The sequence below is a fragment of the Homo sapiens genome, chromosome 5 (assembly GCF_000001405.40).
Source record: "Homo sapiens chromosome 5, GRCh38.p14 Primary Assembly".
In the NCBI taxonomy this organism is placed as follows: Eukaryota; Metazoa; Chordata; class Mammalia; order Primates; family Hominidae; genus Homo; species Homo sapiens.
In genome coordinates, this window is record NC_000005.10 from 16,986,000 (window position 1) to 16,996,784 (window position 10,785).

At 44.6% G+C, this 10,785-nt stretch overlaps 1 annotated feature.

Moving 5' to 3' along the window:
* Nucleotides 8,411–8,963: an enhancer, noted in NCBI's record as "OCT4-NANOG hESC enhancer chr5:16994519-16995071 (GRCh37/hg19 assembly coordinates)". NCBI's record gives its function as "activates a minimal SCP1, AML or CMV promoter by ChIP-STARR-seq in naive H9 embryonic stem cells {active_cell/tissue: H9 hESC(naive)}" and the evidence as "EXISTENCE:reporter gene assay evidence [ECO:0000049][PMID:30033119]".

The following is a 10,785-nucleotide window of genomic DNA, read 5'->3' on the forward strand; positions in this document are numbered from 1 at the left end:
TGTGAATCACAGGGAAAAGGTAACTGAAAATACAGCAGGGCTTGACTTGTGCAACTTGACTCTGAAGAAACCAGCCAATATTGGAACTGTGGGTCTCAGGTTTAACCTTATTCTGAGTCAAACATTTGAGAACCTGATGAGGGCTATGGGACCCATATGACCTAAAAAATGACCATATGAACAAAAAGATATAAAGACAACATCTTGCAAATTATTTCAGGGGCAGTTTAGAGACTCCCTGAAGCCAGCGGACCCCATGTTAAGAACTTTGACATCAGAGGAGATCCCGTGGGGATAACGCTATAACTGCCTGCGGTACAGGATGGATTACATCAAGCCCTTGGGCTGTTTCTTGAACACAGTTGTTGGAACACAACTACGCCAGTTCATTTCTGTATTGCCTCTGCTTGCTTTTGAGCTCTAAATGCAGAGCTGAGTAGTTATAGCAGAGACCTTCCGACCTGCAAAGCCTGACCTGTTTCCTGCCTGGCCCTTTACAGAAAAGGTTTCTGACTCCTGGAACAGTGTGCAAGCGGTGTGACCAGAGAGGAGACGCCATGCGTGTGCAGGTCCAGTGGGTTTTCTACACGTACATTCTGCCTTTGGCAAACGAGTGAAAGAGAGGGAGAGAGGAAGAAAAGAAAGAGAAGTCTTTATGCATTTTAAACTGCTTTTCCTTTTCCAGGCTAAAGCCAAATAAACATAAACCAATGAAACCCAGAAAAGCCTGGTGCCAAATAGTGACATGGTCATTTAAAATTTTAAGACCAGACATTTAAAATTATATAAGTATTTTACGATGGGTGTGGTGGCTCACGCCTGTAATTCTAGCATTTTGGGAGGCTGAGGTAGGAGGTTCTTTTGAACCCAGGAGTTCCAGACCAGCCTGGGCAACATGGTGAGACCCTGTCTCTACAAAAAATTTAAAAAATTAGTGGGGTGTGGTGACGCATGTCTGTAGTCCCAGCTCCTCGGAAGTTTGGGGCAGAAGGATTGATTGAGCCCAGGAGATTGAGGCTGCAACGAGCTGTGATCACACAACTGCATTGTAGCCTGGACAACAGAGCAAGAAACTGATTTAAAAAGGAAATATATATATGTTTATATATATAATATATTTATATATAATTATAAACATATATAATTAATTGAATTAAAAGACTAAGATCTAAGATCTGGCCTTTTCCCATTATTTCTGGCAAAGAAGTGTAAAATTTTAAATTGTAATTTAAGTTGGCTTGAAGGACCAAAGATCTTGGATCCGGCCTTTCTCCCCTAGGTCTGGCAAAGAGGTGGTAGCCAGGAAGGAAAGCACAGGTGTGTCAGACACAGTGGGAAAGCTTCTTCTGTGACGGTAGGTAAATTATTTAGCTACAAAGCATTTCCGTTTCCTCTCTTGTAGCATAGAATAATAGATGCTCATTTTCCCAAGGATTGCTGTGAAGATTAAATGATATAATGCAGGTCTGCGTAGATTTTATTTGGTTCAGGTCTCCATAAAAAGGATTCCCATTATAAAGTAATCCAGGGATGTTTAGTAAATCCAGCCCATAGCAAAGGATCTGGCATATATTTGTTTCCGTGTAAAAGCTTTTCTACAAATGGTGAGTGGCAAGAGCTTTTTCTAAACTTCCTAAGTTGGAAATGTCTTTTAATGAATGTGGGGTGATCCAAACAGAAGCAATTCCGAACTAGATTATATTGAGGTCAGAAGCAAATTATGCAAGAGATAACTTCCAAGTCTTAAATAAAAAAGAAAAAATTTATTGACGAGGTGAGGTGGGTGTGGCCAACTAGGAAATTCACCATTTTCATTTACCTGACATCTGCCCTTTAAACGCCCTTCCCCCCTCCTTAGCCATAATTCATTTCATTCCCATCAGAAATATTTAAAGAACCCTTTGTAACAACTCCACAGTTGTAGGTTGGGATACAATTTCTCTCTTAAGTCCTTCATAGGGCCCTTTTGTTTTCTGCCTGCTCATAATCTCTCAGCATGGATGTTGCAACAATGTATGGGATGTGCCTGCATTTCCTTTCTTGTTTCTCTTAGACCCCTTAACCAAGGTTCCCAAGCACTTGAACACATTAACTCTTCTTAGAGTATTTTTTAAATGACACTAAAATATTGAGAGAATAAAGGAGATTATTTTAGGACAGGGCATAGGAGAAAGAGAAAATATAAGAAGACAATTGCTCTATTTTCTAAAAGATTGGCCAGGCGCAGTGGCTCATGCCTGTAATCCCAGCACTTTGGGAGACCGAGGTGGGCAGATCACTTGAGTCCAAGAGTTTGAGACTAGCCTGAGCAACATGGGGAAATCCCATCTCTACCAAAAATACAAAAAAAAATTAGCTGGGTGTGGTGGTGCATACCTGTGGTTCCAGTTGCTTGGGAGGCTGAGGTGGGAGGATTGCTTGAGTCCCGGAGGTGAAGGTTGTTACAGTGAGCCAAGATCACAGCACTGCACTCTAGCCTGGGCCATAGAGTAAAGCCCTGTCTCAAAAAATAAAATAAAATATAAAAAATTAAAAGATTAAGTCTCTCCCGCTTATGGATATATTGCATATAATGGGGAGTGTGAGATGCCTTCAAACTTAACAGTTACAAGAAAATACAGAATCTGCCAGAATCACAACGACAAGAAAGATTCTGAATTGTAAAATATAGACAGAGGTTGGGACAATTAAAAAATGAAGAAAATCCTGCGGGAACCCAATGCACTGAGTTTCAACAAGCCTGGGAATCCACTGTCTCTGAGACTCTCACAGCCAGCCAGAGTGGTTTTCCTGGGAAGCTTTCTGAGTTGTTCTCTATGTACAGAGAAGGCATGGGCCAGCCTGGCTTATTTCCTAATAAGAGAAGAGTGGTCTTATCCACCACCTTCTTTCCAGCACATTGCACATTTCTGGGACTGTCACCCCTGCTTTTACTACTAGACAGAAAAGAAAAAAAAAACAGCAGAGAAAAACCACAATCTTGCCCTTTTGTAAGCAAGTGTGATATTTTCACCTTCAAAAAGCAGATTTGTGAAGCTTAACTTTGTTCATCTCTATAAAGTGCTTTCATTTTTTGAAAAGGAAAGTGATCCGTGTGTGGGCTTAATCTAGGCTTAATCTGATCTAAGATGGAATTATTTAAAATAATGTCACCGTAGTTTGGGATTAATACCTCTTGTTTCTCTTTGGAGACATGGCTTTTAGGAAAGTATGAGTTAACTGTCGCTATAGACTGTGGTTCCCTCTAGAGAGTATTCAGTTTTCTCTTAAAGCAAATTCATTAGGAAACAGAGGATCAGCAAAAAGTCTAGCCTGGAGTACGATGTAATGGGTGAAAGTGTATTTCTTCCATGAAAGCTTGGTTTTGGAAGTTATTGTCATTATTTGAAAACCCATGAATCTGATATGAATCTGATATGACTTTGTGTGTGTGTGTGTGTGTGTGACGGAGTCTCGCTCTGTCGCCCCGGCTGGAGTGCAGTGGCGCTATCTCAGCTTACTTCAAGCTTGCCTCCCGGGTTCACGCCATTCTCCTGCTTCAGCCTCCCTAGTAACTGGGACTACTCACAAACGCCCGCCACCACGCCCTGCTATTTTTTTTGTATTTTTAGTAGAGACGGGGTTTCACGGAGTGTTAGCCAGGACGGTCTTGATTTCCTGACCTCATGATCTGCCCGCCTCGGCCTCCCAAAGTTCTGGGATTACAGGGGTGAGCCACTGCGCCTGGCCCTGATATGACTTATTTTTAAAAAGCAGCAATCAATTCCATGTTCTGCCTCGAAGAAAAAACATTTGCGAAATCGTGTGGAGCCTATAGTCTGAGTCTTTTATTACAGAAATGTTCAAAAAAAAAAAGGAGGGGGCCGGGTGTGGTGGCTCATGCCTGTAATCCCAGCACTTTGGGAGGCCAAGGCAGGTAGATCACCTGAGGTCGGGAGTTCGAGACCAGCCTGACCAACATGGAGAAACCCCGTCTCTACTAAAAATACAAAATTAGCTGGGTGTGGTGGCACGTGCCTATAATCCCAGCTACTCGGGAGGCTGAGGCAGGAGAATTGCTTGAACTCAGGAGGCAGAGGTTGAGGTGAACTGAGATTGTGCCGTTGTGTGTCCGGAATTGGTGGGTTCTTGGTCTCACTGACTTCAAAAATGAAGCCGTACACCCTCGCGGTGAATGTTACAGTTCTTAAACGCTGCGTGTCCAGAGTTTGTTCCTTCTGATCTTCGGATGTGTTCGGAGTTTGTTCCTTCTGGTGGGTTTGTGGTCTCGCTGGCTCAGGAATGAAGTTGCAGACCTTCCCAGTGAGTGTTACAGCTCTTCAGGCGGGGCGCCTGGAGTTGTCCGTTCCTCCTGGTGGGTTCCTGGTCTCGCTGGCTTTAGGAGTGAAGCTGCAGATCTTCGCAGTGAGTGTTACAGCTCATAAAGGCAGTGTGGACGCAAAGGGTGAGCAGCAGCAAGACTTACTGCAAAGCGTGAAAGAACAAAGCTACCAAAGCGTGCAAAAGGACCCTAGAGGGTTGCCACTGCTGGCTCTGGCAGCCTGCTTTTATTCTTATCTGGCCCCACCCACATCCTGCTGATTGGTCCACTTTACAGAGAGCAGAGTGGTCTGTTTTGACAGGGTGCTGATTGGTGCGTTTACAATCCCTGAGCTAGACACAAAGGTTCTCCACGTCCCCACTAGATTAGCTAGATACAGAGTGTCCACACAAAGGTTCTCCAAGTCCCCACCAGAGTAGTTAGATACAGAGTGTGGGTTGGTGCATTCACAAACCCTGAGCTAGACACAGGGTGCTGATTGGTGTGTTTACAAACCTTGAGCTAGATACAGAGTGCCGATTGGTGTATTTACAATCCCTTAGCTAGACATAAAGGTTCTCCAAGTCCCCACCAGACTGAGGAGCCCAGCTGGCTTCACCCAGTGGATCCCGCACTGGGGCCGCAGGTGGAGCTGCCTGCCAGTCCTGCGCCCTGTGCCAGCACTCCTCAGCCCTTGGGTGGTCGATGGGACTGGGCACGGTGGAGCAGGGGGCGGCATTCCTCCGGGAGGCTCCGGCCACACAGGAGCCCACGGAGGAGAAGGGAGGCTCAGGCATGGCGCGCTGCAGGTCCTAAGCCCTGCCCCGCGGGAAGGCAGCTAAGGCCCGGCGAGAAATTGAGCACAGCAGCTGCTGGCCCAGGTGCTAAGCCCCTCACTGCCCGGGGCTGGCGAGGCCGGCCTGCCGCTCGGAGTGCGGGGCCAGCCGAGCCCACGCCTACCTGGAACTCGCGCTGGCCCGCTAGCACCGCGCGCAGCCCCGGTTCCCGCCGGCGCCTCTCCTTCCACACCTCCCCGCAAGCTGAAGGAACCGGCTCCGGCCTTGGTCAGCCCAGAAAGGGGCTCCCACAGTGCAGCGGCGGGCTGAAGGACTCCTCAAGTGCCGCCAAAGTGGGAGCCCAGGCAGAGGAGGAGCGGAGAGCGAGCGAGGGCTGTGAGGACTGCCAGCAATCTGTCACCTCTCAATTGCACTCCAGCCTGGGCAACAAGAGCAAAACTCCATCTCAAAAAAAGAAAAACAGAGGTAGTAGGGGGCATGTGCTGCCCTAGGGTTATTAAATTTTTATCTTTGTCAAGAGAAAAGGTTTACATTAATGAATTTCAAAAAGCGACCTTATGTTCTTTATTCGCTTTTTCATTTGTTTCTTCCCTAAAGGAAAAGACACAAAGAGCTGGGCGCAGTGGCTCACGCCTGTAATCCCAGCACTTTGGGTGGCCAAAGCAGGTGGATCACCTGAGGTCAGGAGTTTGAGACCAGCCTTGCCTTCTTAACTAAAAATACAAAAAAATTAGCTGGGCGTGGTGTTGGGTTCCTGTAATCCCAGCTACTCAGGAGGCTGAGGCAGGAGAATTGCTTGAACCCGGGAGGTGGAGGAGGTTGCAGTGAGCCGAGATCACACCATTGCACTCCAGCCTGGGCAAAAGACCGAGACTCTGTCTAAAAAAAAAAAAAAAAAAAGAAAAGAAACACAGAGAAGACACATGATCTTTTCTTTCCATTCACTCTTCCTTTTTCCATCATTCCCCGTAACCTCATTGGTGCTGCATGCTACATGGGACACAGTTTAAATGTGGATGAAAGGAAAGATCTTATGGCTAGATGTAACCACAATGACTCTAACAGTTGGTGGGAGGGAAAATCAAGCTGCCTGGAATGAATTTTGCATGTCAGCTTCTAGAGAGACTGGTGTTTTCATGAGCTTTATGACTAATTTGGGGTGCGGTGATGAAGTACAGGGAGGCCTGGCAGAAACAATGCTTAATACCTTGATGTTGTCCACTGTGGAATTGCCCAGGACATGAAGATGCAATAATGGAATTGGTTGTGTTAAAATGGGATAATGAAAGAAAAGGAAATACATTTTCTTTATTGGACAGGATACAATAGTGTTGCTTTGGTGAAACACACTTCTCATTATAGAATATTATAGTATCTGTTCTGATAGTTGGATATCTACAGGAGGCATCTGTGTGGTGGCAGCCTCTTGGGTGTATGAAGTGACTTTATTCTCAGTTGTGGCATTTCCCAGACGTCTCTTTGTTTGTCTTTTGTCTGACCGCAGTTGCTTGTGGTCTTTGCAGCACAGGTTGCACAAAGAAGGCTCTTTCTATTCCCTTCAGTAGATGAGCACCAATTTCTTCCGATTTATGAATGAGTTTTTCCTGGAGAGCTGGTAACTGTTGTTTGGCATACAACCATTTTTTTGCTGCCGTTTTTATTTTCGGGACTTTTTCATATGTGCTTGCTCATTTCCTCAGCTGGGCATGATTTGTCCTTTTTTTTTTTTTTTTTTTTTTTTTTTTGAGACAGAGTCTTGTTCTGTCGTCCAGGCTGGAGTGCAATGGTGCGATCTTGGCTCACTGCAACCTCTGCCTCCCGGGTTCAAATGATTCTCCTGTCTCAGCCTCCAGAATAGCTGGGATTACAGGCGTCCGCCACCAAGCCCAGCTAATTTTTATATTTTTAGTAGAGATGGGGTTTCACCATGTTGGCCAGGCTGGTCTTGAACTCCTGACCTCAGGTGATCCACCCGCCTTGGCCTCCCAAAGTATTGGGATTACAGGCGTGAGCCACCACGCCTGGCTGATTTGTCCATTATTTCAATAAGCCTGTGCAGAAGAGCAGGAGACGGGAAGTGCCCAGTCTTCTCTCCCAACTGAATTCCATTTCTCTCCCGACAGAATTCCATTTTTTTTCCTCATTCTTCTGTTCTGAGTCTAGAAGAAGACCCAGATTGTCTGAATGGACGACAATTTCATCCACTCATCAGTTCCTTCAATAAGCACCTGCTAGTTTCTGGAAGCTTGAGTTAATTCTAGAAGGCAGACAGCTTTTAAAATAAAAATTGAAGGAAAAGGGGAGAGAAAGGTGGATATGAACAAGGAGGATCAAATGAAGACAGAAAACAGGAAGGCAGAGCTAAGAAATTGTAGGAAGAGGAAATGAAGAAAAATGAGAAAGAAAAGGAAATGGTTTAAATTTTCAAAAATGAACAAAAATAAGATGGATTCAGAATACTCCACGTGCAGCTGTTTCTGCCAGTACCGTAAGGACCACATAGATTAATTAGCTTTGGCCTTTATCTTTGAAGAATTTAGAATTAAGAGTAGAAATCAGATGAAAAATATGAGAAGACATACATGTCTTTGTCTACCCTTGTTTCCTGAGATTTATATGAAGAGAGCTTTTCAAAGTAGTTAATGGCCAGGCACAGTGACACGTCTGTAATCCCAGCACTTTGGGAGGCCGAGAGGGGAGGATCATTTGAGCCCAGGAGTTTCAGACCAGCCTGGCCAATGTGGCGAAACCCTGTCTCTACTAAAAATACAAAAATTAGCTGGGCATGGTGGCGTGTGCCTGTAACCCCAGCTACTCAGGAGGCTGAGACAGGAGAATTGCTTGAACCCAGGAGGCGGAGGTTGCAGTGAGCCAAGATTGCATGACTGTACTCCAGCCTGGGAGACAGAGCGAGACTCCGTCTCAAAAAAAAAAAAAAAGAAAAAGAAAAGAGTAGTTAATGGCCAGGCATAGTGACTCACGCACTTTGGGAGGCTGAGGTGGGAGAATCACTTGATCCTAGGAGTTCAAGACCAGCCTGGGCAACATAGCGAGACTCCGTCTCTACAAAAAATACAAAAAGTTAGCTAGATGTGGTGGCACTTGCCTGTAGTCCCGGCTGCTTGGGAGGCTGAGGTAGGAGGATTGCTTGAGCTCAGAAGTTTGAAGCTGTAGTGAGCCAAGTCACAGGGCTGCACTCCAGCCTGGGGGACAGAGCAGTACTCTGTTAAAAAAAAAAAAAAAAAGTAGTTAACATATTTTACTTCTCTTTGAAAGTGCTTCAAGTAAGTGGGATAACTAAAAAACAGAAAATGTTTAAAATTTATGCTTGTCGCTTATAAATTCCATTTCTGTCTTGCAGTTCAGGCTGGGGGGCTTTGTGGAGATCCCTCTCCTGAGGTGGTGTCCAGGGCTTGGGGGACAATTACTGGGCGTGTCCCCTCCTCTGTAACCAGAAGGCGGAACATGTGCTGACAGCTGAGAGGGAGAAAGGAGCTATTTTCTCCTCCCTTCTAAAGCTGTTAATGTCCTGGGCTCCAATAAACGATTGTAACAATTGATCTCTGTGTGGTGAATCAGATACTCATTACATCTTGCTAAGCAAGACACTTAACTGAGCAGAATTCCTTTTCTAGTGACCTCTTCTCTCCTCTTAATGGGCAGTGATCCCTGAACCACAGGGGCTTGTTGTTGGTCCAGGTCACAGGCTTACAGCCTCCAGCGACACACACAGTAGTTTGAGCAGGAAAGGGAGAGGGACACTCTTCCATAAAAGGCCTCAGTGTGATCTGCTGTGTGGCAGACAACTGTGCGCAGGTCCTTGAAGTACTGAAGAAAGTCAGAGGAAGTTTGCCTGAGGGGTGCTTGTGATATTTTTGGCAGTGATTTTCTCACTACCTGTACTGTTTGTGTCTATTATTAATGTTTACTGCAACTTGAAAAAGAATAGCTACTAAATTAGGATTTGATGAACTTCTCAGCTGGAGAGAGCTGGATCTTACAGAGAAACACCATTTGGGATTGGAGATGTTGTGTTCTCTTAGTGGTTTCATTTTGATGTTAGGATAAGGAAGGGAAAAAACACTTCCAGAAGGCAGAAACAGCTTGTTGTGTCCAGTCCATGGAAGAAACATCAACATGTTTGAAGTGAGCTTTGCAGTTGTTTTGTCTAAATAGATGAAGGGCTCCAGGCTTTGGCTGCCTCACCATCACATCCTTTTATAATTTTAGTTTGGTTGATGAGTTTTTTTTCCTCAAGATTCTGCCTGATTTCAGCAAGTGTTTGGTGCTGCTGGGTAATGTCTTTACTATTAAACCATTTGGATTTTACTCACTTTTCAAGATCAATGGCTTATTTTGTTGTTACTGGAAAGGAGTTAGAAAGCTCCACAACATCTCTTCCACTCTGCCTTCAAGGGATCGTCACAGCACAAATGTGATTGTTTCTGGACTTGTTAAGAGCCCTGAGCAATACAATGTGAAATAGCTTAGGCCTGGGCTGGAAGGAAATGATGAATGTTTTCCTTAGAGGAAGCGATTGGGGGTTTGGATGGAGGGATCTCGGGGCAAAACCCCACTTCCTGGAAGGATAATTAGTGTGTAGAAAGGTAAGCAGACACTGTTCTCGTAGAAAGTCCCTTGTAATTATCCCAATAGGAATGTGCTCAGGACATATTTTTCCCTTTATTAAAGGGGTTGTGGGAGCACTGAATGATCAGCGTTGAGCCTTTTGTCCCAAGGAGAATTTCACAAAGGGCAAAGTCCCCTTTCCTCATATTTTGCATACCAAGGGAGTAATATCCAAAAAGTAGTGGTCCATTTGTTAATTCACTTTTTAGATCTCTCTCCCTCCATGCATACCATATATAATATATACATTCTATTTAGTGTATTATATAATAAAACAAAATGCACAGAAAGGTTGCTTAAAGATCTTAAGTGTGTGTTTGTACTGTCATCCTAATGAGATTTGGAGATTAAAGTTTTCTAAAATCTTGTTTTAGAAACAAGGTTATTATCGTCAGGGATAATACATTATATTTTTTTACATGAGGCTCTTGGAAATCCATTGGAGAGACATTTCCTCACTAACCCTACGTGATCTTTTAATTTTAATCAAAAAAATTTTTTTGAGACAGGGTCTCACTCTGTTGCTCAGGCTGGAGTGCAGTGGTGCCATCATGGGTCACTGCAGCCTCAAACTCCTTGGCTCAGGCAATCCTCCTGTCTCAGTCTCCCATGTAGCTGGGGCTATAGGCATGCACCACCATGCCTGGCTCATTTTAAAATTTTTTTGTAGAGATGGGGTCTTGCCACATTTCCCAGGCTGTAATTTTTATTTTTAATTTCCACTTTATTAGAATATTGAGTCAATATTGGTCAATTAACATCTGGATAAAGAAATTGTGGCCATAAAAAGGAACAAAATAATGGCATTCGTAGCAACCTGGATGGAACTGGAAACTATTATTCTAAGTGAAGTAACTCACAAATGGAAACACAAATATCATACGTTCTCACTCATAAGTGGGAGCTAAGGTCCGGGCGCAGTGGCTCACGCCTGTAATCCCAGCACTTTGGGAGGCCGACGGGGGCGGATCACGAGGTCAGGAGATGGAGACTATCCTGGCTAACACGGTGAAAACCCATCTCTACTAAAAATACAAAAAATTAGCTGGGCGTGGTGGC